The 27,902-nt window shown below is 42.2% G+C and overlaps 1 protein-coding gene, 1 non-coding gene and 2 pseudogenes across 6 annotated transcripts in view; 3 read left to right on the forward strand and 1 right to left on the reverse strand.

Annotated features, from left to right (window-relative positions):
- Positions 1-27,902, reverse strand: part of ULK2 (unc-51 like autophagy activating kinase 2) — a 97,107-nt gene that overhangs the window by 64,774 nt on the left and 4,431 nt on the right. For 3 of the 5 annotated variants that reach the window (XM_047437147.1, NM_001142610.2, NM_014683.4), the window contains exons 4-10: positions 14,139-14,171; positions 13,766-13,802; positions 11,134-11,307; positions 9,701-9,774; positions 7,518-7,619; positions 5,886-5,944; positions 2,898-2,980 (exon numbers count right to left, since the gene is read on the reverse strand). In XM_047437147.1, the coding sequence (XP_047293103.1) occupies positions 2,898-2,980; positions 5,886-5,944; positions 7,518-7,619; positions 9,701-9,774; positions 11,134-11,307; positions 13,766-13,802; positions 14,139-14,171 (562 nt within the window). Of the gene's footprint in view, positions 1-2,897; positions 2,981-5,885; positions 5,945-7,517; positions 7,620-9,700; positions 9,775-11,133; positions 11,308-13,702; positions 13,803-14,138; positions 14,172-27,902 lie in introns of all 5 variants that reach the window. The other 2 variants (XM_017025425.3, XM_047437148.1) reach the window with 1 other exon arrangement.
- Positions 4,499-4,964, forward strand: NDUFB4P3 (NADH:ubiquinone oxidoreductase subunit B4 pseudogene 3; annotated as a pseudogene).
- LOC124904110 (uncharacterized) lies at positions 12,466-12,521 on the forward strand (annotated as a pseudogene).
- On the forward strand, positions 25,259-25,329 carry TRG-CCC3-1 (tRNA-Gly (anticodon CCC) 3-1). Its single transcript has one exon. It is a non-coding gene; the product is annotated as a tRNA-Gly (tRNA).

The following is a 27,902-nucleotide window of genomic DNA, read 5'->3' on the forward strand; positions in this document are numbered from 1 at the left end:
CTACTCGGGAGGCTGAGGCAGGAGAATGGCATGAACCCAGGAGGCAGAGCTTGCAGTGAGCCGAGATCCCGCCACTGCACTCCAGCCTGGGTGATAGAGCAAGACTCCGTCTCAAAAAAAAAAAGATGCATACCGTAATCCCTAGAGCAATCATTAAAAAAAAAAATACATAGTACAAAAAAGCCAGAACACTCAATGAAAGAATTTAAATGGCACACTAGAAAATAATCTATTTTGACTAGGAACAATGGCTCATACCTGTAATCCCAGCACTCTGGGAGGCTAAGGCAGGAAGATTTCTTGAAGCCAGGAATTCGAGAACAGCCCTGGCAACATTGTGAGACCCTATCCCTACAAAAGGGTAAAAAAATTAGCCGACTGGGCCGCGCCCGGTGGCTCACACCTGTAATCTCAGCACTTTGGGAGGCCAAGGCAGGTGGATCACCTGAGGCCAGGAGTTTGAGACAAGCCTGACCAACATGGCAAAAACCCATCTCTACTAAAAAAAAAAAAAAACAAAAATTAGGCCGGGCATGGTGGCTCACGCTTGTAATCCCACCACTTTGGGAGACCGAGGCAGGTGGATTATGAGGTCAGGAGTTCAAGATCAGCCTGACCAACATGGTGAAACCCCATCTCTACTAAAAATACAAAAATTAGCCGGGCATAGTGGCATGTGCCTGTAATCCCAGTTACTCAGAAGGCTAAGGCAGGAGAATCGCTTGAACCCGGGAGACGGAGGTTGCAGTGAGCCGAGATCGCGCCACTGCACTCCAGCCTGGGCAACAGAGCAAGACTCCGTCTCAAAAACACAAACAAGCAAAAAAAATTAGCCGGGCATGGTGATGGGCACTTGTAATCCCAGCTACTTGGGAGGCTGAGGCAGGAGAATAGCTTGAACCTGGGAGGCTGCAACCTGGGAGCTTGAACCTGGGAAGTTGCAGTGAGCCGAGATCATGCCACTGCACTCCAGGCTGGGCAACAAGAGCAAAACTTCGTCTCGAAAAAACAAAACAAAACAGGCTGGGCATGGTGGCTCATGCCTGTAATCCCAGCACTTTGGGAGGCTGAGGTGGGCGGATCACAAGGTCAGGAGTTCAAGACCAGCCTGGACAAGATGGTGAAACCCTGTCTCTACTAAAAATATAAAAAATTAGCTGGGCATGGTGGCGGGCGCCTGTAATCCCAGCTACTCGGGAGGCTGAGGCAGAGAATTGCCTGAACCCAGGAGGCGGAAGTTGCAGTGGGCCAAGATCATGCCACTGCACTCCAGCCTGGGCGACAGAGCGAGACTCTGTCTCAAAAACAAAACAAAATAAAACAAAACAAAAAATTAGCCAACTGTGGTGGTGCAGGCTTGTAGTCCCAGCTACTAAGGAAGCTGAGGTGGGAGAATCACTTGCACCCAGGAGTTCAAGGTTGCGGTGAGCTACGATCACACCACTGCATTCCAGTCCAGCCTGGGTAACAGAGTGAGGCCTTTTCTCTAATAAAAGAAAAAAAAAAAACAAAAGAATCTATTTAATAAATATTGCTTGGCACTGTGGCTCACATCTGTAATCTCAGCATTTTGGCAGGCCAAGGTGGGTAGATCGCTTGAGCCCAGGAGTTTGAGATCAGCCTGGGCAACATGACGAAACCCTGTCTCTACAAAAAAAATACAAAAACTAGCCAGAGGTGGTGTTGTACACCTGTAGTCCCAGGTACTGGGGAGGCTGAGGTGGGAGGATCACCTGAGCCTGGGAAAGTCAAGGCTGCAGTGAGCCATGATAGTACCACTGCACTCCAGCCTGGGTGACAGAGTAAAACCCTGTCTCAAAAAATATAAAAATAAATAAATAAATAAATCCAGGCTGACAACTCCCCAATCTGTCCCCAGTCTAGACTTTTCTGAAATTCAAGTGCACTTCTGACATCGACACTTAGATATCCAATGGTTATCTTAAATTTAACATGTCCAACAGAAACTCCTCATCTTGTCCCCATAGCCTGCTCTATCCATATAGTCTTTCCCATCACTGTAATCGACAACATCCTTTCAGCTGCTCAGGCCAAAAACCTTGGAGTCATCCTTGAGTCTTCTCTCTCACACCCTCACATTCAATCTATCAGTGAATGCTGTTGCCTCTACCACCAGAAAGATTTCTTACCACCTCCACTACTATTACCCTAGTCAAAGCTACACTCATCTCTCACCTGGGTAACGACAAGAGTCTCCTGATTAGTCTCCCAGCTTCTGCTCTTCCCCTTACATGCACACAGTCTATTCTCAAGCAGCAGCCAGCTTGATCCTTTTTAAAAACATTAGTCACATCACTTTTCTTCCACTCAAAACCCTCTAAATGGCTCCCATCACACTTTGTGGAAAAGCCCAAGTCTTCAACTGGCCTTCTAGTTGTTCCTCAAGCTTACAGGCATGCTCCCAGCCCTCATCATTTATATTGGCTGTTCACTCTGCTTAAAAAGCTCTTCCCACAGATATCCACATGGCTCACTCTCATTTCAAGTCAAGTCTTTGTTCAAATGTCACTTTCTCAGTAAGGTCTTCACTGACTACCTTATTTAAAATTTCAATCCCCACCCCCACCCCACCCCCACTTCTTTATTCCCATAATACTTAGCAACTTCTAATATAATATATAATTATGGTTTTTAATTTGTTTATTGTCTCTACCACTAGAATATATGTTACATGAGGAGAGTGATTTTATTACTCTATCTCTCGTACCTAGAACATAGTAATAAGCACTCAATAAATATTTACGAAACCAGTGAAGGAAATAAACAAAAAGAAAAGTGAAACTGACTTTAATTTTCTGAAATCTCTAGTTTTTAAATCTTTCGGCATATATAACAATAAAATTAGAAAACATGCAAAAGTTAAAACTATTTCTTACCAAAGTCCATTCTATCTTTTTGGTTTCTCTGAAGCAAACCCAAAAGGAGATTAGCCAAATAAGGTGATGTTTCTCTGGGAATACTGGGGGAAAGGAAAAACACAACCACCTAAGTGATAAGTTTATATACATAAACATTAACTTTTGCCTTCCATATAGTAAACTAAAACGTGTATGCGGTTTCACAAATACCAATACATTTATACCACGAAGACCATGTAAGAGTCATCTAAAGAAGGGAAAAAAGCCGGGTGCTGTGGTTCACGCCTGTAATCCCAGCACTTTGGGAGGCCGAGACAGGTGGATCATGAGGTCAGGAGATCGAGACCATCCTGACTAACACGGTGAAACCCCATCTCTACTAAAAATAGAAAAAAAAAATTAGCTGGGCGTGGTGGCGGGCACCTGTAGTCCCAGCTACTTGGGAGGCTGAGGCAGGAGAATGGCATAAACCCGGGAGGTGGAGCTTGCAGTGAGCCGAGATCATGCCACTGCACTCCAGGCTGGGCGACAGAGCAAGACTCCATCTGAAAAAAAAAAAAAGAAGGAAAAAAAGCACTAAATTGCCTTTGAGAAACAGCATCAAATTGAGAAGATTCCTGTATTGTGCTTGCTGTTGTTTTGAGTATCTGCAGGAGTAAGGCACCTCAAAAGCCCAATGTTGACTTTTAGCATAGCTTCAATCTTGCACTAATAGTTGTTATAATGTTCTCTATTACAAAGTAGCCACCTCCATTTCTGTCTGGAAAAGGGCAGCACTTAAATACAAGTGAGAACTAATACAACTTCCTAACATCCGATATGAAAACAACAAGCAACAGGAAAATGAATTAATAGCAGTACACAATTCAAAGAATAAGAATTACAAAAAGATATTAAACAGGCTGGGCACGGTGTCTCACACCTGTAATCCCAGCACTTTGGGAGGCCAAGGCAGGTGGATCACTTGAGGTCAGGAGTTCAAGACCAGCCTGAACAACATGGTGAAATCCCGTCTCCACTAAAAATACAAAAATTGGCCGGTGTGGTAGCCTGCCTGTAGTCCTAGCTACCTGAGAGGCTGAGGCAGGAGAATGGCTTGAAACTGGGAGGTGGATGTTGCAGTGAGCCAAGATCGTGCCATTACACTCCAGCCTGGCAACAGAACAAGACTCTGTCTCAAAAAAAAAAAAAAAAGAAAGAAAAGAAAAGAAAAAGATATTAAAGAAATACAAAGGAGCCAAATTCACTAATAAAGAGAATAATGCAAATTAAATTAATAGCTAACTGGTCCTCATGCATTTGTGCAGCATCAAATCTGCTAACATTCCATGTTGGTAAAAATGAGGGAAAAGGAGCAGTCTTCTATCTTGCTGTATTCACTGGGACAGCCTATTTGGAGAGTGTATCTTTTGGTCTGACAATTCCATTTCTAGGAGTCCACCCTAACAAAATGCACACATACACAAAGGAGTACACACACATACACACACACACACACACACACACTTCACTAGAGCCTGTTTGCAGTAACCAAAAAAATGAAAACAGGGATCTGATTAAATAAAATAATGTACATCTATGGGACTCTCTGTGGCATTTAAAAGCATACAGTGGCAGGTGCAGTTGAGCTCTGGGTCACCAAGATGTCGTTCCCAAAGTATACTCTATCACGCCTGGCCACTGTGCCCCCGACCCTCAACCCAGCCGAATACAACATATCTCCGGACACCCGACGGGCGCAAGTTGAGCAGTTGGCCATAAGAGCCGGGCTGAAATGAGAGTACCTGCTTCAGTACAACAACCCCAACCGCAGAGGGCTCATCGAAGATCCTGCCTTGATTCGTTGGACCTATGCAAGATCAGCAAATGTCTATCCTAATTTCAGACCCACTCCTAAAAACTCACTCTTGGGCGCTCTGTGTGCATTTGGGCCCCTCTTCTTCTGGTATTGTGTTTTCAAAACTGACATGGATAGAAAAGAAAAACTTATCCGGGAAGGAAAATTGGATCAAACATTTAACCTCTCATATTAAGTCTGTCAATGATGACTATATGTACTCCTGCCTAAATAGTCTATTAATCATTTAAAAAAAAAAAAAAAAGCATACAGTTGGCCAGATATGGTGGCTCATGCCTGTAATCCCAGCACTTTGGGAGGATGAGGCGGGGGGATCACTTGAGGTCAGGAGTTCAAGACCAGCCTGGCCAACATGGTGAAACTCCGTGTCCACTAAAAAAAAAAAAAAAAATACAAAAATTAGAGGGGCGTGGTGGTGGGTGCCTACAGTCCCAGCTACTAGGAAGGCTGAAGCATGAGAATCACTTGAACTCGGGAGGGGGAGGCTGCAGTGAGCCGAGATCATGCCACTGCACTCCAGCCTGGGTGACAGAGCAAGACTCTGTCTCAAAAACAAAAAAAAGCATACAGTGCCTCTCTACATCTTGCTGCGGAACATCATCTGTGATGTGCTACAAAGTAAAAAACAAAAGGACGCTGCAAACAACTCACAAAATATGATGTAATTTGTCTTAAACTATGTGTGTGTATAAATACATACATAAACAAGCACTCATCTCAAGATACAAGTTCGAGAGGAAAAAAAAAGGAAAACAAGCATTCAAACACGTATAAAGAACACCCAAAAAACTATGAAGACAGAGACACAGCAAACTCTTGTTACCCCTAAAGAGAGCAAAGCTGGGGGGAATTCACTTCCTACTTTATGCGTATCTATTCTATTCTGTCCACATTACCCTCCCCACAAGGAACACATGTAACTTCCGTATCTTTTTCTTTTAAATTTACATTTTAAAAAAGAAAGAAAAGAGTACAGCACTACACAGACACCTATGATGTGCCAGCAATTTTCTAATTTGTTGTAACAAATGCTTTCACATTATCAACTGAAAAAGAATTAAAAAATGAGAATACACAAAACACAAACAGTTCAAATAAACAACACTGTATTCACAAATAGTAAAACCCAGTGTAATCTAAACACATACCTAGGCATTAAGCTCCTGTTTTTTTCATAAAACATCCTTAAGTCTTGAGGACTATTGGCCTATTAAAAAAAAAAAGGTTTAATTTCCTAAACAATGGGGGCAAAACTTTCAAATCATATGATTGACACTCATATGCTTTTTTTTTAAGGGATTGAGGGAGTGGGAGTTTCAAGGAAGGGACTGCTGACAGGAAAGGAGGGAAAGTATGAGGGAGGAGGAAAGCAAAGAGAGATGATGCTCATATTCTTGCTACAGAACATAGACTATCAACTTGAAAGCCATGGATTGCTGAAGGACCCATAACTGGTCATTAGGAACTCATAAAACCTATGACATTGTGTGAAAATTCTGTACATCTGAGTATAACGTACCTTTTCTGAGGTACCTTTTCTGAAGTACCTTTTCTGAGGTCAGACTCTGAGAGGAGCCTGAAACTTAGAATAGATTAAGGACCACTATTCTGAAGGTTACACGGCCTGCCCAATAGGTACATTATTGTTGGGTAAAATTCAGGTGTACTTTACCTTAGGACCCTAAAGGAATTCAAAGAAAAGAACTATGTATACTGCTACTATTCAGTCTCTCCACAACAACAAATAGCTGATAACAACAGCTGCTGAATTAGTGAAGCCTCCTCTACATGCAAACTAGACTAAGAAATTAAAAGTGTTTAACCTGGCTGTGTCACTAATTTTCTTTTTCTTTTTTTTTTTTTTTTTTTTTTTTGAGACAGAGTTTCGCTCTTGTTGCCCAGGCTGGAGTGCAATGGTGTGATCTCGGCTCACCGCAACCTTCGCCTCCCAGGTTCAAGCGATTCTCCTGCCTCAGCCTCCCTAGTAGCTGGGATTACAGGCATGTGCCACCACACCCGGCTAATTTTGTATTTTTAGTAGAGATGGGGTTTCTCCATGTTGGTCAGGCTGGTCTCGAACTCCCGACCTCAGGTGATCTGCCCGCCTCGGCCTCCCAAAGTGCTGGGATTACAGGTGTGAGCCACCACGCCTGGCCATCACTAATTTTCTTAATACTATCTCGGGCAAATATTTTCACTTTGTTTCAGTTTTCAAATTCGAAGATCTTCTTTGTAACATAAGAAATTATAACATGGCAATATGAACTCAAGAGAAATCATCGTGATTATACTCTACAGGGTCACTTTTTGGCAGGATGTTGGGGGAGAGGAGGAGAAGACAGACCCATAATAATTTCCATAAAGTGTATATAATTACCTCCCTCTCACCTAGCAGTGTCAGAAATAGAGAGCTAGAGATGGTTTCCAGAGATCTCCCCAGACCAGCCCCAGCCCTCATGTGGATTCCGGGATCCCAAAACCAGGCTAACTAGGAAGCTCTGGTGTCACCATTCACACCCATTTCCCACCAGGCTGTTAGCCCCGAACCCAACATACAACAGACTTCATGCCCAGTCCAACTACAAAGGGCAGGCAGATAAAAGGGGAAAACCAAAAGACGTTCTGACTCACTAAAGCAGTTTTTGCCTATAACAGAATCAAAGTAACTCACAGAGGAGCCAAAAACACTGCTTTCAAAGTATTCTTCATTTTACAAATCAAACGCAACTATAAAATGACAAGATCCCAAAACTGAGGACATAAGAAAAAAGTCAGCCTACCTGAAAAGGTGGTTTTCCAACTAGGCATTGGTATATCACTGTTCCTATGCTCCACAAGTCAGCCTTAGCATCATAATGTTGAGACATAATAACCTCAGGAGCCTGGGAACAGAAAAATTTAAGGGGCATGCCGTACGTTATTTACATAATTAATATGCACATATTAATTAACTGGTAAAGGTGACACTTCTAACAAACTACCAGAATAAAACAACACCCTGTGATAGTTCTCTAATCAAATAATAAGGCAAAGAACTTACAACATATTATTATATATTGAGATTTACTAGTAAATCTCAAAATCAATGTTGCATGAAAAGAGGCAAGTTATAGAAACAAATGTTTCACCTGATTATAATGGACACATAAAGTACAGTAAGAGGGCCGAAAGAGTAAAGAAAAATACACACCATAGGACATGGTGTATAAAATACATACCATAGGACAGAGGTTCCCTCAGGTGTGTGAGAGGAGCAGAGGAGGAAATGCAATCAGGGAGAGGTACAAAAGGAACTTGGGCTGTCTCCAAAATATTTTTTCTTTTTTTTTTTTTTTTGAGAATGAGTCTCAATGTGTCACCCAGGCTGGAGTGCAGTGGCGTGATCTCGGCTCACTGCAACCTCCACCTCCTGGGTTCAAGTGATTCTCCTGTCTCAGCCTCCCAAGTAGCTAGGATTACACGCGCCTGCAACCATGCCCAGCTAATTTTTTGTATTTTTAGTAGAGACAAGGTTTCACCATGTTGGCCAGGCTGGTCTCGAACTCCTGACCTCGTGATCCTCCCACCTCAGCCTCCCAAAGTGCTGGGATTACAGGCATGAGCCCCTGCGCCTGGCCTATTTGATTTCTTTCAAAAACAAGATCAAGACAAACATGGCAAAATGTTAACTTTGTGAAATACGGATGGTGGGTACATAGGTGTTTGCTATATTATTCCCTATGTTTTTTGTAATCTGAATACTTTTATAGTAATAGAAAAACTATGATGCAAAACCCCACACAATACTAAAAATTGTCCTAAAAGCAAAACCATTTCTCTGCTGCTTTGTTACGGGTATTTTCCCACCTCTCATCAAATGTTGCATTTTAAATATACCATTAATCAGGACAAATATTAAACAGAAATGGAAAATATACTTAAAGATAGTTTTATTTCTCAGATGTAACATTTCCTTTTAACTTTAATTCTTTGTGGAAATGGGATCTTGCTGTGTTCACAGGCTGGCCATGAACGCCTGAGAAGTCCTCTTGCCTCAGCCTCCCAAGTAGCTGGGACTAAAGGCACGCCATCACTACACCCAGCTCAGGCATAACATTTTTATTTATTTTCCCTAGTAAATTTCTTATTAAGTCAATATCCTTTAATAATCAGCCAAAGCACTCTAACCTCAAGGCTAAACTAATTTTATACTCAAGAAGTACAAAGTAATTTTAAAATTTATATAAAATTATAAAATTATATATAAGCAGTAAAATTATGATCAAGACTATAAATCTAATAAAATTTTTTTGAAATTTGATTACCAGTTCAAAGTTGATTTTAGTTTAGAGAAATTTTGAATTTAATATAAACCCATTTTAAATTTAGAACTGAAATAGGTACATTTATTTTACATAATTCTGAATCTCTAGAATTAAGGTATTTCCAGACTTAATACTGCACATTACATTAGAAGTTTCATAGCCTAACCCTATAATACATGATGATATCTATATGAGAGGATAAAGGGGAAAGCTGAGATATTTCAGCTGTGTGAGGCTAATGGAAAAAACATCTACAACACAGGGATCCTGTCACGAGAGTTAACATGCAAAAGATAAGCACATCCTACAGCTGAAGAAGTGCTCCCAGAAGATGTTTTTTAAAGCACTCTTATATTATACATTATGTACAGCATGACTACCCTTGATTAATTTTTATTTTCAACTTAATAGATTTGTCTCATAACTAATCTTTTTTAAAAAATAAAAACAAATGGGCAAAAATGACTTACTTTTACAGTCCACTATGCTAAGGCAAAAGATGTCTGTATTATAGCATTATCAGTAATATAATTAACATTAGTAATAACAACTTGGACTATATGTAAAATCACATCTTATTTGGAAGCACGCATTATATTTAAATTCCAATGATTATGGAGCCATGCTTTAAACACACAAGGATGCAAACACTCACTCACCATGTACATCGGGGATCCACACAGTGTTGCAGCCATCATGTTACTATGTAGGTAACGAGCAAAACCAAAATCCGCTATTTCACAAAACAGAAAGTAGAAAAGCAAATTACGTCTTCGCTCATACCTAACATATATCATATGATTCTTCGAGACACAAGAAGGCACAAAGGACTGTGAAAAATAAACAGCTTATTGAATTAGACTGTCCACCAAAAAAAAAGTAGCTACCTTGATTTCAGCAAGCTAAAAATAGTAGTAATCGTCAACTGTACAAGTCACTGCTCTGCCAGATTTGTAACCAAGGTGTACGAAACTTTGCAAGTGAAAATGCTAATTATAATAAGTAGCTCATTAATACAGTTTTCATTAAATATCAATACCAGATGTAGAATGTGAACAATTATGCTTTTATTGTTTCAAATAATTTTGAGGTACTACTAAAAAAAAACTGCCAAGGGCTAAACTAGATGGTCTCTGAGATCCCTACGTCAAAAGCCTAGGAACTGTAAAGAATCAGGGTTATGGCCAGGCGTGGTGGCCCACACCTATAATCCCAGCACTTTGGGAGGCTGAGGTGGGCAGATCACCTAAAGTCAGGAGCTCGAGACCAGCCTGGCCAACACGGTGAAACCCTGTCTCTACTGAAAAAAAAAATACAAAAAAAATTAGCTGGGTGTGGTGGCACATGCCAGCTACTTGCGCATCCCAGCTACTTGGGAGGCTGAGGCAGGAGAATCTCTTGAACCTGGGAGGCAGAGGTTGTAGTGAGCCGAGATCGTGCCACAGCACTCCAGCCTGGGTGACAGAGCGAGACTCCATCTCAGACAAACAAACAAAAAAAGAATCAGAGTTATTAATTTGCTGCCAGTAAGCACACCACATCAATTTTCCTCTCGAGAGACGCAGGTATTCATATTTAGAGCTCCTGATGTGGGCCTGTCAGCACTGCCTGAGACTTGGCAGAAACTGTCAATAATGTAAAGGATTCACCTATCTAAGAGAACTCCACGATCTCAATAAAAATATCAGATTGCATCAATAAAATCCATCATCTGGCCAGGTGTGGAGGCTCAAACCTGTAATCCCAGCACTTGCGGAAGCTGAGGCGGGCAGATCACCTGAGGTCAGGAGTTCAAGACCAGCCTGGCCAACATGGTGAAACCCTGTCTCTACTAAAAATATAAAATTTAGCTGGGCGTAGTGGTGCATGCCTGTAATCCCAACTACTCAGGAGGCTGAAGCAGGAGAATCGCTTGAACCCAGGAGGCGTAGGTTGCAGTGAGCCAAGATCGCGCCACTACACGCCAGCCTGAGCAACAGAGCGAGACTCCATCTCAAAAAAAAAAAAAAAATCCATCATTCAACAAAGCTAAAGTTGTCTAAAAATAGTTTCAAAAAATGTCCTTTCCATGACACAATACATGGCCATTTACCTATTTTGATGCGAATACCACTGACACTTGATTTTCTGCGATTGGCATAGGACAGCAAGATGTTCTGTGGTTTGAGATCTCTGTGGATGATTCCTTTGCTGTGCAGGATTCGCATGGCAGCAGCAATCTGATGCAGAAACACTCTGATCGTGTCTTCACTGAGAGTCCCTTTCGCTGGTACAAAAGGAGTCACGTAAATATTTAAGCACACAAAATCAAATACCATCTGCATATTCCATCAACAGGATTGGGTTGTGAAGGAGAGCATGAAGGGAATGAGGAATTTGGATTCACATTTATTTATTTTTTTAACTTTAATAATTGAAGACTATGAAGAGATATCAGATTTCTCAAAACCTGTAGTCAATCTGTTGTAAAGAGAACTGACTGGCACTTTCACCTTTTGTTTCACCTGTGGTTTTTGCTTTTCCTTCATGTTTTTACTGCTGAAGGTGCCCACATGACTCTGAACACCATATGTACTCAATAAATATGAATGTCCTTTACAAGCCAAAAGCTAAGTTCCCTTCATATTAGTCAAATATCTGGAATAAGTGTCCATATTTAATTCCAACCATTATGTGAGCACAAATTAAAAACAAGCAAAATCTTTGACCAGAGGGATCAGATACTACTGCTACCCGTGCCTGTGAGGCATCTGTGTTCCTGCATCTACTCTGTCCTTTTATCTCCCACACCCCCGTCCCACTATCTTTCATAACTAAAAATACCTTAAGAATAAATGTTTTAACCGATTTCACCACTATAAAGAGGTGATATGAACATTATTTGAAAGTAGTGAGTCATTATTCCGTAAATATTTTTTTTTTGAGACAAGAGTTTCACTCTGTCCCCCAGGCTGGAGTGCAGTGGCACAATCTCAGCTCACTGCAACCTCCGCCTCCCGGGTTCAAGAGATTCTCCAGCTTCAGCCTCCCAAGTAGCTGGGACTACAGGCATGTATCACCATGCCCAGCTAATTTTTCTATTTTTGTAGAGACAGGGTTTTGCCATGTTGGCCAGGCTGGTCTTGAACTCCTGACCTAAGTGATCCACTTGCCTCAGCTGCCCACAGTGCTGGGATTACACTGAGAGACATCGTGACCAGCCTATTCAGTAAATTCTATTTCTGTGTATGCCAGAGCATGTTGTGGTTAACAGCTTGACTTGAAGTCTAGCTGCCTTTGTTCAACTCCTAGTTCTTCCACTTAATGTGTGACCCTTTTGAAAAGACAATCCCTCTGTGCCCACCTTCCTCATGTATAAAAGTTGATGAGAATAACTACGAGTTGACATGATGATTAAATAAAACCCATTTAATAATGAAAACTTGTGCTCATTTCAGCAGCACATATACTAAAATTGGAACAATACAGAGAAGATTAGCAAAAAATATTTATATTAAAAAAAGAAAAAAATTATGAAAACTTTAGAAAAAGGCTTTGCACATATTTCAATGTAGCAGGTATGCAAATACTTATTACAATGAGTCTAAAAGTCACAAGTGTAATTCCTTACCTACACTGAGGATTTAGTATCCATGTACCTATTTAAATTATTCGTGATGCATGTCTGTCCATATAATTCTTAGAATATGTTCTATATAACCTTTCCATTTGTAAATAAGAGAGAAATAACATTAGTATTTGGAACAAGTGAAATACTGTGGTTTTAAAATCATTTTAATGACCTGTCAAGTTTTACATGTCCTTAACATCTTCAAATAAAATAAATCTTTATGGTTTAAAAATTATCAAATATGGCCCAGTGTGTGGCTCACGCCTGTAATCCCAGCACTTTGGGAGGCTGAGGCGGGCCGATCACGAGGTCAGGAGTTCGAGACCAGCCTGATCAACATGGTGAAACCCTGTCTCTACTAAAAATACAAAAATTAGCTGTGTGTGGAGGTATGCACCTGTAATCCCAGCTACTCGGGAGGCTGAGGCAGGAGAATCACTTGAACCCAGGAGGCGGAGGTTGCAGTGAGCCAAGAATGCACCACTGCACTGCAGCCTGGGTGACAGAGTGAGACTTCATCTCCAAAAAAAAAAAAGGAAAAAGAAAATACTCTGGAGGCACACAATTTGATCTGAATGCTTCATATCCTACATGTATGCATTTTGGGTTCAGAATTTCAAGCACCATCTAATATTAAAATCTTACTTCTGTACCACAAAATAATTTAAATGTTACCTTTAATGCCTTATAATTTTTGTTGCCTTTTTTTAATTACAAGAAATATTCACATAAATACCTTCTTGGATATATTTTTCCACTATAATTTTTTAATTTTGAAAGAAACGAAACGGACTAAAACTCAGTCAAGCCTTTTGAAGGAGAGGAATTCTATCGGGTTTCTCCTCTCCTGGGGATAGGACCATCTCTCAAACACTGTCAGAGAGAGACACACAAAAAGGTAAATACTTATATACAAGTAAAGCTTAGAAACAAAACCACAAACAACAACAACAACTGGTCTGCAAAGTGACCACAAGTCAAACAAATACACAAATATTTATTGAATGTTTCTATACAAGAGCAGAAAATGGGTAGTGTATTTCACAAGTACCTCTTAGGATTAAACAGGCTGCAGCACTGTCTTTACTGAACACTGACACACATACACAGTTACCTTGCAAATAATCTGCGAGGTCTCCACCATTGCAATACTGACATAGAAAAGAGAAAGTAATGAAAATAAGGACAGTGATTCAAGATTAATTCAATCCATTCTCAATTGTGATTAAAAAATCATTTGTATATAATGTCATGTAAATATAGCCTAAAAACATTATAGATTCAAAATTTTTTAAATTTTATATTCCTTGAGTAGAATCTAGATCACTGAATCAACTTTATTAATACAAAAATTCAAATAATCTACTACCAATTTTAAAGTTCATATTAATCAAAAAGGATTTGAAATATGCAGATTTATGCTAGAATCTAAAAAAAAAAAAAAAGAAATTTGAAATAAATTAAACAGAAGTTTGTATACTACCTACCTCCATCACCAAAAAGACAGAGTTGGGTAATTCCTGAAAAGTAAACATATTAAATATCATTTAGAGAAAAATTAAACACAAAATTTAAAGATAATGATAGTTAAAAATACCATACTTGTTCATTATTAAAACTGGTAAAATGAAATCACAAAATCTATTAGAAAGTGAAATTAAAATTCCCAACACAATGATGTAATTATCTCCTCTACAAAGCCAAATCAAGTTTTGGTAACACTAATGTAGTCATCAAGAAGTAAAATTTTGTTTACAGAAATAACTAGAGAAAGATTCATCTTTTGGTTATGATTGACCTAAAACAACAGATCTAGGACAAAAAGCATGGTAAATTTACAATGGGGAAAAAGGAAGGATTCTTTGGTCCTTGGGGAAACACTTCCACTTTGAAAAGTTTATGATTTGGAGCAGCAAAACAGCATAATCCTCCCTAGCAACACTATATGCACAGTCTGATTTCTGGAATATATGACTCAGGACGCCTGGTTTTTTGTTTTTCTGTTTTTTATGTTTATTTGGGGCAATCGCATTATCAGCAATTGGTGGCAAAGGGAAATGTTTTATCACATTATCAACACATGTTCCACAATGTTGAGGAAATGAATTGAGGGCTCTTAAAAAGTCTCTCAAATCCATATAGCTCCAGGTCTGCTGTTGATTAAGTAACTCAAAGACTGATTAGCTGGCTCTTCAATGGCAATTTTTATAACGATAACTAAAATTTAGATTGAACTTCCCTGTGGCTTAACTTGAGCCAGTGTGCAAATGTAATTCAAAATATAGCTTTTGGCCAGGCGCGGTGGCTCACGTCTGTAATCCCAGCACTTTGGGAGGCCGAGGCAGGCGGATCACGAGGCCAGGAGATCGAGATCATCCTGGCTAATACGGTGAAACCCCATCTCTACTAAAAATACAAAAATTAGCCGGGCGTGGTGGCGGGCACCTGTAGTCCCAGCTACTTGGGAGGCTGAGGCAGGAGAATGGCATGAACCTGGGAGGCGGAGCTTGCAGTGAGCCGAGATCATCGAGATCATGCCATTGCACTCCAGCCTGCAAGAGAGCCAGACTCTGTCTCAAAAAATATATATAGATAGGTCTAGATCGATCTAGACCTATCTATATCTAGATATATAGCTTTTGGGCTGGGCCCAGTGGCTAACACTTGTAATCCCAACACTTTGGAAGGCCAAGGTGGGAGGATCACTTGAGCCCAAGAGTTCAAGACTAGCCTAGGCAACACACGGAGAATTCATCTCTACTAACAATTAAAAAATGGCCGGGTACAGTGGCTCATGCCTGTAATCCCAACACTTTGGGAGGCTGAGGCGGGTGGATCACCTGAGCTAAGGAGTTCGAGACCAGCTTGGCCAACATGGTGAAACCCTGTCTCTAATAAAAATACCAAAAAAAAAAAAAAAAAATTAGCCAGGCATGGTGGCGGGCACCTGTAATCCCAGCTACTTGGGAGGCTGAGGTAGAAGAATCATTTGAACCCAGGAGGCAGAAGTTGCAGTGAGCCAAGATCGTACCACTGCACTCCAGCCTGGGCAACAGAGTGAGACTTCCCCTCAAAAAAAAAAAAAAAAAAAAAAAAAATTAGGCTGGGCACAGTGGCTCACACCTGTAATCCCAGCATTTTGGGAGGCCAAGGTGGGCAGATCACCTGAGGTCTGGAGTTCAAGACCCGCCTGGCCAACATGGTGAAACCCCATCTCTACTAAAAATACAAAGAAATTAGCCGGGCGTGGTGGTGCACGCCTGCAATCCCAGCTACTCCAAAGGCTGAGGCATGAGAATCGCTTGAGCCTGGGAGGTGGAGGTTGCAGTGAGCTGAGACCGCGCCACTGCACTCCAGCCTAGGCAACAGAATAAGACCCCATCACAAAATAAATAAATAAATAATAAAAATAAAAAAGTCTTGAAGGACACAAAACAGTTTCTTCTTCTGGAAAAAGGAAATAGAGAGGTATAAGAAGAGGGCATCTCGGCCGGGTGCGGTGGTTCACGACTGTAATCCCATCACTTTAGGAGGCCAAGGCGGGTCGGATTACAACGTCAGGAGTTCGAGACCTCGATGTCAGGAGTTCGAGACTAGCCTGGCCAATATGGTGAAACCCCACCTCCACTAGAAATACAAAAATTAGCTGGGCATGGTGGCACATGCCTGTAGTCCCAACTACTCAGGAGGCTGAGGCAGGAGAATCGCTTGAACCCGGGAGACAGAGGTTGCAGTGAGCCGAGATTGCGCCACTGCATTCCAGCCTGGCAACAGAATGAGACTCCATCTCAAAAAAAAAAAAAAAAAAAAAAATACAAAAATTAGCTGGGCAGTGTGGCACGCACCTGTAGTCCCAGCGGCTTGGGAGGCTGAGGCAGGAGAATGGCTTGAACCCAGGAGGCGGAATTTGCAGTGAGCTGAGATCGCGCCACTGCACTCCAGCTTGAGCAACAGAGCAAGACTCCATCTCAAACAAACAAAAAAGCACTGGGCGCAGTGGCTCACGCCTGTAATCCCAGCACTTTGGGAGGCCGAGACAGGCGGATCACAAGGTCAGGAGATCAAGACCATCGTGGCTAACGCGGTGAAACCCCATCTCTACTAAAAATACAAAAAGTTAGCTGGGCATGGTGGCCGGCGCCTATAGCCCCAGCTACTTGGGAGGCTGAGGCAGGAGAATAGTGTGAACCCAGGAGGCAGAGCTTGCAGTGAGCCGAGATCACCACTGCACTCTAGCCTGGGTGACAGAGCGAGACTCCATCTCAAAAAAAAAAAAAAAAAAGAGGGCATCTCTTTACTTCATATACTGCTAGGCTATTTAAAGTGTTTTTATACTGAAGGTCATTTACTTTTGTAATTTAAAAAAACAATAAAGTAAATTTTTTTTTTTTTTTGAGACAGATTCTCGCTCTGTGGCCCAGGCTGGAGTGCAGTGGCGCAATCTCAGCTCACTGCAAGCTCCACCTCCAGGGTCCACGCCATTCTCCTGCCTCAGTCTCCCGAGTAGCTGGGACTACAGGCACCCGCCACCACACCTGGCTAGTTTTTTGTTGTTGTTGTTGTTGTTTTGTATTTTTAGTAGAGACAGGGTTTCACTGTGTTAGCCAGGATGGTCTCAATCTCCTGACCTCGTGATCCGCCCACCTCGGCCTCCCAAAGTGCTGGGATTACAGGCGTGAGCCACCGTGCACGGCCAATTTTTAAAAGTCAAAATAACATGAGTAGGTGGTTCTCTCCAGTAAATTCAGATGCCTAGAAGCAGAAGTAGAGAAAATGGCAGCATGATACAAAGCAACAGAAAAGTAAATGACAAGCCAGACAATTCAAAGAAAACTTCCTGGTTTCTTTTTTATTTTAAAGTGACATTTTTTTAAATTTTTTTAATTTTTTTTTTTTTTGAGACAAGGTCCCGCTCTATTACCCAGGCTGAAATTCAGTGGTGTGATGTTGGCTCACTGTAACCTCCACCTCCAGGGTTCAAGCGAGTCTCCTGCCTCAGCACCCCCGAGTAGCTAGGACCACAGGTGTGCACCACCACGCCCAGCTAATTTTTATGTATTTTTTCTAGAGACGGGGTTTTGCCACGTTGCCCAGGCTGGTCCCAAACTCTTGGACTCAAGCGATCTGCCCAGCTTGCCCTTCCAAAGTGCTGGGATTACAAGCATGAGCCACCGCACCTGGCCTAATTCCTGGTTTCTAAACCCAAATCCTCACATCTCTCTGCTATATTCTTAATTCATTCTCCACCCCTCAGGCAGTTTCTATGGTTTATCTCACAGGAAAAGAGAAAAGAAACATTCCTACAATTCGGCCCCACCTTCTTTTTTTTTTTTTGAGACAAGAGTCTCACTCTATTGCCCAGGCTGGAGTGCAGTGGCACAATCTCAGCTCACTGCAACCTCCACCTCCCGGGTTCACGCCATTCTCCTGCCTCAGCCTCCCGAGTAGCTGGGACTACAGGCACCTGCCACCACTCCCGGCTAATTTTTTGTATTTTTAGTAGAGATGGGGTTTCACCTTGTTAGCCAGGATGGTCTTGATCTCCTGACCTCGTGATCCCCCCGCCTCGGCCTCCCAAAGTGCTGGGATTACAGGCGGGAGCCACCACGCCCGGCCAAGGCCCCACCTTCTAATAACATCACCATGAGTGATAGGATTTCAACATATGAATTTTGGAGGGACATGAACATTGATTGACACCACAGCAAATCAAGTTCTACAAAACTTAGAGATGCAAAATACAACATATGAAAGCCAATTCTGGCCAGGCACAGTGGCTCACACCTGTAATCCCTGGGCCAATCACCTGAGGTCAGGAGTTTGAGACCAGCCCGGCCAACACGGTGAAACCCATCTCTACTAAAAACACAAAAATTAGCTGGGTGTGGTGGTGCATGCCTGTAACCCCAGCTACTCGGAAGGCTGAAGGAGGAGAACTGCTTGAACCCAGAAGACGAAGGTTGCAGTGAGCCAAGATTGCGCCACTGCACTCCAGCCTGGGCAACAGAGATTCCATCTCAAAAAAAAAAAAAAAGCACACACAAAAAAAGGCATTTCTAGCTTCCTGATCTAACACAAACCCAACATAGGTTTGTGGAAAAACTCTCCTTCAATGTGTATCTCATTAATACTAATTATACCAAAGGTTGCAAAAATATTCAGAATATATAATACTGATTAATAAATTTATAAATTGATTCTCACCTAATCTGACCCTGATTTGCTGTAATTCTTCAAATTCCCTAAGTCCTAACTCTTTTTAACAGTCTTACAGAAGACTTCTTCTGTAGATATCCTCAAAAACAGGTAAGAGTCTGGGATAGCTGGTTGGGCTTTCTGGAAAATAAGTTGAGTCCCTACATTATCCCTTTGTACATAACTAAGTTCCAGAGATCAAAAATATAAATATGAAAAAATGAAACCCTAAGTACTAGATGAAAACATGGGGAATCATTTTCATAAGCTCAGGGTAAAGAAATCTTCTATAATATGAAACCTAGGGGTCATTAAATAACAGGTTGGATAAATTCTACCATGTAGGAACTTCCATATATTAAAGACACGGCGGGGGCATGGTGGCTTAAGACTGTAATCCCAGCACTTTGGGAGGCAGAGGCGAGTGGATCACGAGGTCAGGAGTTCAAGACCAGCCTGGCCAAGATGGTGAAACCCCTTCTCTACTAAAAATACAAAAAATTAGCTGGGCTTGGTGGCAGGTGCCTATAACCCCAGCTACTCAGGAGGCTGAGGCAGTAGAATTGCTTGAACCCAGGAAGCAGAGGTTGCAGTGAGCTGAGAGTGCGCCACTGTACTCCAGACTTGGCAAAAGAACAAGATTCCATCTCAAAAAAAAAAAAAAAAGAGGCTAGGCCAGGCGTGGTGGCTCACGCCTGTAATCCCAGCACTTTGGGAGGCCGAGGCGGGTGGATCACAAGGTCAGGAGATCGAGACCATCCTGGCTAACACTGTGAAACCCCGTCTCTACTAAAAATACAAAAAATTAGCCAGGCATGGTGGCGGGCGCCTGTAGTCCCAGCTACGCGGGAGGCTGAGGCAGGAGAATGGCGTGAACCCGGGAGGCAGAGCTTGCAGTGAGCCGAGATCGCGCCACTGCACTCCAGCCTGGGTGACAGAGCGAAACTCCATCTCAAAAAAAAAAAAGAAAAGAAACCCTATCTCTACTAAAAATACAATAATTAGCCGGGTGTGGTAGCAGGTGCCTGTAATCCCAGCTACTGGGTAAGCTAAGGCAGGAGAATCACTTGAATCCGAGAGGCGGAGGTTGTAGTGAGCCGAGACTGTGCCATTGCACTCCAGCCTGGGCAACAGAGCAAGACTCCATCTCAAAAAAAAAAAAAAAAAAAAAGGAAAAAAAGTCTAAAGTAAGACCCCCCCACAAAAATACCAAACAAAATGGGAAAAATATCTCAAAACATGACAAAGAGCTATCAACTCTGATTCCCTCTTGTTTACCTCCTACAGTCCAAGTGCCCAAGTCCTAACAATTCTATCTCCTAAACATCTCACTAATCTGTCCAGGCCTCTGTCTCCATTGATACCAACATTCTTTCTTACCCAGATATAAATAGCTCTTTCTTTTTAATAACGGTATACACTGAGCATGGTGGCACAGGCCTGTAATCACAGCTACTCAGGAGGCAAAGGCAGGAAGATCGCTTGAGCCCAGGAGTTAGAGGCTGCAGTGAGATATGATGGCACCACAGAAGAAATGCACTCCAGCCTGAGTAACAGAGTAAGACCTCATTTCTAAATAAGTATTTAAAAATAAAAATAAATGTACAGTTCAATGTGTTGTGACAAATGTTTACACCTACGTATCTACCCTGCCAATCAAAATACATAACAATTCCATCACCCCAAGAAGTTCTCTCATGCCCCTTTCCTATCACTCCCTGGGACCAAGAGTCAACCTCTGTTCTGATTTCTATCACCCTAGCTTACTTCTGACTCTTCCCAAAATTCACAAAAACAGAATTATACTGTAGCAGTATATGGCATGCTTATTTTTCTCAAAATAATGTTTGAGGCCGGGCGCGGTGGCTCACGCCTGTAATCCCAGCACTTTGGGAGGCCGAGGCAGGCGGGTCACGAGGTCAGGAGATCAAGACCATCCTGGCTAACACAGTGAAACCCCATCTCTACTAAAAATACAAAAAATTAGCCGGGTATGGTGGCAGGTGCCTGTAGTCCCAGCTACTCAGGAGGCTAAGGCAGGAGAATGAGGGGAACCTGGGAGGCAGAGCTTGCAGTGAGCCGAGATCGCGCCACTGCACTCTAGCCTGGGCGACAGAGCGAGACTCCGTCACACACACAAAAAAAAAAAAGTTTGAAATTCACGTTATGACATGTATCGTTTGTTCCTTTTTATATATGTCAATTTGTTCATTGTATTATTTGCTATAAAACGAGTTTTACGGCCGGGTGCAGTGGCTCACGCCTGGAATCCCAGCACTTTGGGTGGCCGAGGCGGGCAGATCACAAGGTCAGGAGATCGAGACCATCCTGGCTAACACGGTGAAACCCCGTCTCTACTAAAAAATACAAAAACAAAATTAGCCAGGCATGGTGGTAGGCGCCTGTAGTCCCAGCTACTCGGGAGGCTGAGGTGGGAGAATAGTGTCAACCCAGGAGGTGGAGCTTGCAGTGAGCCGAGATCGCACCACGGCACTCCAGCCTTGGTGACAAAGCGAGACTCCATCTCCAAAAAAAAAAAAAAAAAAAAAAAAAAAGAGTTTTAAAATTTTTTATAGCCAGGCACGGTGGCTCACACCTGTAATCCCAACACTTTGGGAGGCCAAGACGGGCAGATCACCTGAGGTCGGGAGTTCGAGACCAGGCTGGCCAATACGGCAAAACCTCGTCTCTACCAAAAATACAGACATTAGCCAGGTGTGGTGGCGGGGCGCCTGTAATCCCAGCTACTCAGGAGGCTGAGGCAGGGAGAATTGCTTGAACCTGGGAGGTGGAGGTTGCAGTGGGCCAAGATCACGGCATTGCACTCCAGCCTGGGTGACAGAGTGAGACTCTGTCTCAAAAAAAAAAAAAAAAAAATGTTTTACATGTCCCTACTAGAGCTTCTGATACTACAGCTTCTGAGTTTCTTATCTTGATTTAAAATGTCTTTCCATCCCTTGGATTGTACAGTCATTTAAATATTATTCTGAGACTGTTATTGTTTACTTTATATATTTAAGCTTTTAATTCATTTGGAAATGATTTTGGAAAATGATGAGAATGGTGTTCCAATTCTATTTTTTGTCAGATGTCTCAGTTTTATGAGCACCACCTATTAAATTAATCATCTTTTTCTTGCGATACTAAAAATTACCAAGAGGTAGATATTTAACCAGGCCACTGACAATCACACAGTTATGTATTCCTAAGTGAAAGTACTTATCTCATGCTCAGAGTGCTCTAGGAGATTTATCTTTTGAAAAACAAAAACGGTATCACTCTCCTGCTTTTAAAACTCTTCAATAGCTTTGTACTGTCCTTAAGATAAAGATCAGATCTGGCTCCTGCTAACCTCTCCAGTATCATCTAACACTATGCTCTCGCTCTCATTACTGTACTCCAGACACACTAGCCTTCTTCCAGTTCCTCAAACTCAGTGATCTCTCCTGTCAGTGGTCTTTACAGAAGCCTTCATCTCCTTGGGAAACTTACTTTATTTTCTCCCATTAACCCCCACCTAGCCTTCTCCCACCCATCCCTCAGTCTCTACAGATATCATTTCCCCAGGAAGCCTTCCCTTGTCCCATTTTCCTAGGCCCCATATTGTTCAAACCTCGCCAAGAGCTCTCCCTTACAGCACTTGGCACACTTGGAAATAGTAACTATTGGCCCGGGTGTGGTGGCTCACGCCTGTAATCCCAGCACTTTGGGAAGCCAAGCTGGGCAGGTCGCTTAAGCTCAGAAGTTTGAGACCAGGCTGAGCAACATGGTGAAACTCCATCTCTACAAAAAATAGAAAAATTAGCCAGGCATGGTGGTGCCTGCCTGTAGTCCCAGATACTTTGAAGGCTGAGGTGGGAGGATGGCTTAAGCCCAAAGGGTGGAGGCTGCAGTGAGGTGTGGTCATGCCACCACACTCCAGCCTGGGCAAGAGAGCCAGACCCTGTCTCAAAAAAGAAAAAAAAAAGAAATAGTAACTATTTGCTTAATGTCATCTTCCCTAATATCCTGTAAGAGTTCCACAATGACAAGGACCATTTCTACTTTGTTCACCACTATACGCCTGTACATCTCATTAACCAGCTCAAGAAATACTAGTCACAAATAAACCAGTAAGAAAAATGAACACAACCTATGCATCATAGGACAGCAATGGGAACGTCACAGAAGAAATGTAAAAAGACAAATACAGCAAAAAGATGACTGATACCCTAATGGTTTAAGAAAAAAAAAATACCAGCTGGGCGCAGTGGCTCACATCTGTAATCCCAGAACTTTGGGAGGCCGAAGCAGGTGGACCACTTGAAGTCAGGAGTTCGAGGCCAGCCTAGCCAACATGGTGAAACCCCATTTCTACTAAAAATACAAAAATTAGCCAGTTGTGGTGGTGGGCGCCTGTAATCCCAGCTACTTGGGAGGCTGAGGCAGGAGAACTGCTTGAGCCCAGAAGGCAGAGGTTGCAGTGAGCCAGGATCGTGCCACTGCACTCCAACCTGGGCAACAGAGTGAAACTCCGTCTCAAAAAAAAAGAAAGAAAGAAAGAAAAGTAATAAAATTAGGCTGGGCATGGTGGCTCACGCCTATAATCCCAGCACTTTAGGAAGCCAAGGCAGGAGGATCACTTTAGTCCAGCAGTTCGAGACCAGCCTGGGCAACATAGTGACCTCATCTCTATTAATTAAGTAAATATAATTTAAAAATGTTTTAAAAGATATTTTCCTAGTGTGAGATTATAAAAATTTTTTTTAAAAAGGTCACTACTGGTTAAAAAGAACTAGTATAGGCTGAGTGCGGTGGCTCAGGCCTGTAATCCCAGCACTTTGGGAGGCTGAGGCAGGCGGGTCACCTGAGGTCAGAAGTTCAAGACCAGCCTGGGCAACAAGGTGAAGCTCCATCTCTACTAAAAATACAAAAACAAAATTATCCAGGCGTGGTGGCAGGCACCTGTAATCCCAGCTACTTGGGAGGCTGAGGCAAGAGAATCACTTGAACTCAGGAGGCAGAGGTTGCAGTGAGCTGAGACTGTCGCTGCACTCCCGCCTGGGTAACAGAAAGAATTGGTATAATCTTTTAAAAGATAGCTAATATCTTTGACCAAGCAATTCCACTTCAAGGAATTTATTCTACAGGAACACTATAAAAACACACAAAGATATATGCACACATCTTTCTCTGCAATACTGTTTCCAATAGGGAAAAAATAGGAAACACTCCAAATAGCCATAATTCGGTGGTTTCTTAAGCTACAGGACTCACTCTGTCACCCAAGCTGGAGTACAGTGGCCAGTGGTGCAATCACAGCTCACTGTAACTTCAAGTTCCTGGGCTCAAGCCTTCCTTCCATTTTAGCCTCCCAAGTAGCTGGGATCACAGGTATGCGCCACCACATCTGGCTAACTTTATTTTTTGTAGAAACAGGGTCTCACTATGTTGCACAGGCTGGTCTTGAACTTCTGGCCTCAAGCAATCCTCCAGCTTCAGCTTCCCAAAGCACTGAGTTTATGGTGTGAGCCACCATGCCTGGCTCATAATTGGGTTTTAAGTAAATTATCATTTAGCCCTACAATACTATACTGATTATGAAAAGGTATCTAAGATACATTAAGCTTAATAAAACAAGTTGCATTTCTGTACAAACACTACTAATTCTCTCAAAATGAAAAGCTTTAAAAACTAAGTATAAATGTTTAGAAAATTCTAAAACAAATATACCAAAGAGTGGTTATCCCTGGGAATTGCCATCTCTTTTCTAATTTACCATTCACACAGTATTTGATTAACTGTGGGTATATATTACTTTTGGAATTAGTGGGAAAATGCATTTCTTTTTAAGTGTCATCTAAACTGAAAGCTGATTTTTACAATAGCAAAAGTTCCCAATTTATAAACTTCGGACAGATAACCAAAACTAATGGTCAGTAAAAATGACATTCACTTCAAGTTGATAGTTACTGTATTAATTCCTAAACATACTGTACCCCTTGATGAACAATTTCAATCAATAAAACAAATATAAAGTATTAGGTCAAAACTCTATTTAATAGCCAAATACTTAAGACATTTGATTAATACCTCTTTTTTTTTTTTTTTTTGAGACGGAGTTTCCCTCTTGTTGCCCAGGCTGGAGTGCAATGGCGCGATCTCGGCTCACTGCAATCTCCGCCTCTTCAGTTCAAGAGATTCTCCTACCTCAGCCTCCCGAGTAGCTGGGATTACATGCATGTGCCACCATGCCCAGCTAATTTTGTATTTTTAGTGGAGACAGGGTTTCTCCATGTTGGTCACGCTGGTCTCAAACTCCTGACCTCAGATGATCTGCCTGCCTCGGCCTCCCAAAGTGCTGGTATTACAGGCATGAGCCACCGCGCTTGGCCTGACACTTCTTAAATTTGTTTTTATAAATTAGTTAAAAGCATTGGTGGTTCAATGGTAGAATTCTCGCCTCCCACGCAGGAGACCCAGGTTCGATTCCTGGCCAATGCAGCTCCCACCTTAATCCCAGCTATTCAGGAGGCTGAGGCAGGAGAATCCCTTGAACTCAGGAGGCAGAGGTGCAATGAGCTGAGATTGTGCCATTGCACTCCACCCTGGGCGACAAGAGCAAGACTTCTTCTCAAAAAAAAAAAGAAAAACAAATTAGTTCTAACAGTATACCATGTACAAAATAATATAACATTTGAATGCAGTCACCCTGAAATTCCTGATTGATTAACAATTCACATTTTTTAGTATGTTCTCCCTAATGATACCTCATTCTATAATCAAAGCTGGTACTAAAAAATACTTTTCATTCTGATAGAAAATAATCTAAGCAAGGCCGGGCGCGGTGGCTCACGCCTGTTATCCCAGCACTTTGGGAGGCCGAGGTGGGCGGATCACGAGGTCAGGAGATCGAGACCATCCTGATTAACAAGGTAAAACCCCGTCTCTATTAAAAATACAAAAATTAGCCGGGTATGATGGCGGGCGCCTGTAGTCCTAGCTACTCTGGAGGCTGAGGCAGGAGAATGGCGTGAACCCAGGAGGCGAAGCTTGCAGTGAGCCAAGATCGCGCCACTGCGCTCCAGCCTGGCCAACAGAACGAGACTCCGTCTCAAAAAAAAAAAAAGAAAATCATCTAAGTATACTTTCAAAACAAAACCTACTCTGCAATTGCCAGGGTTTTCTGTATCTCTCCAAGATTGGGAAACTAAAGAGTTAACATTATTTAACAGTTTTGGTACTAGGCACTGAGTTGTACCACTTGGTGCCCTCTATCTACAGAGACTAAGACAAACTACACAAACAGCAGTGAGGAGAACCAACATTTCAACTAGGGACTGAGAGATGAGTTTAGTTTTGACTTAAAAGGTTTCTCCCCTTTTCATGCTGCTTTGAATTTCTCAAATGAAGAAACGAATTAACAGCTATCTGAACAGGTAATAAAATATACCCACTGCATTCACATATTCCATGGATGGAAGTTTAAATTGTAAATTTTTTGGAAAGCAATCATACTCTACAATCAAAAATTTTAACACTGTGCATGCTATTTGACTTGGTCTTTCCAATTCTAGAAATTGAAGTTAAATAATCAAAAATATGTTCAGAAGATATACATAATTCTTACAGCATTTTTCTATTAGGAAAAACTTAAACATCCTTTTTCTTTTTTTTTTCCCCCCCGAGATGGAGTCTGGCTCTGTCACCTAGGCTGGAGTGCAGTGGCACGATCTCAGCTCACTGCAACCTCCGCCTCCCGGGTTCAAGTGATTCTCCTGCCTCAGCCTCCTGAGTAACTGGGATTACAGGCACCTGCCACCACACCCAGCTGATTTTTTTATTTTTAGCAGAGACAGAGTTTCGCCATGTTGGCCAGGCTGGTCTTGAACTCCTGACCTCAGGTGATCCACTTGCCTCAGCCTCCCAAAGTGTGGATTACAGGCATGAGCCATCGCAACCAGGCAAAAAAAGTTAAACATCTTATAACATGAGTTTAGTTACTTTGTGTTATGATATGACCACATGAAAAATGACAATTTTTTTTTTTTGTTTGAGATGGAGTTTCGCTCGTTACCCCAGGCTGGAGTGCAATGGCACAATCTCAGCTCAATGTAACCTCTGCCTCCTGGGCTCAAGCAATTCTCCTGCCTCAGGCTCCTGAGTAGCTGGGATTACAGGCACCCACCACCATGCCTGGCTAATTTTTGTATTTTTAGTAGAAATGGGGTTTCTCCATGTTGGTTAGGCTGGTCTCGAACTCCCAACCTCAGGTGACCCACCTACCTCAGCCTTCCAAAGTCCTGGGATTACAGGTATAAGCTACCGTGCCCAGCTGAAAAATGACAGTATTTTTTAAAAAGTAAATATACAACAGCCCATTTGTCTCACCCCACTAAAACTAAACATATTGAAAGCAAAGACTTTGTTTTATTCACTGCCTCATTCCCAGCACTCAGAACAATGCCTGGCACATAATAGTCACTCAAAAACTTGCAAAGCAGACCGGGAGTGGTGGCTTACATCTGTAATCCCAGCATTTTGGGAGGCAGAGGCAGGAGGATCACCTGAGGTCAGGAGTTCGAGACCAGCATGGCTAACATGGTGAAACTCTGTCTCTACTAAAAATACAATAATTAGCTGGACTTGGTGGCAGGCGCCTATAATCCCAGCTACTTGGGAGACTGAGGCACAAGAATCGCTTTAACCCGGGGGGGCAGAGGTTGCAGTGAGCCAAGCTCACACCACTTCACTCCAGCCTGGGCGACAAGAGTGAGACTGTCTCCAAAAAAAAAAAAGGTTGTCAAATGAATGAATTTGAGTAATGCAAGTGAATACAGAAGAGGTTTTAGCTAGAAATATATATGTAATAGGATCACATAACATATACATTTACCTTACCCGAATTCAACCGTCCAGACTAAGCAAAAGAAAGAAATTATGTAAATCATCATGCTGACCTGCCCTGCAGTGACAGTGGAGAAAAAACCAGAATCTGCTATTCCCTCTGGGAGTCTCAGGTCCCCACAGCTCTCACATGGTATCACACTAGCTACATGTGATTCTAGTTTTTTTTT

This window comes from Homo sapiens, chromosome 17, assembly GCF_000001405.40.
Source record: "Homo sapiens chromosome 17, GRCh38.p14 Primary Assembly".
Taxonomy (NCBI): domain Eukaryota; kingdom Metazoa; phylum Chordata; class Mammalia; order Primates; family Hominidae; genus Homo; species Homo sapiens.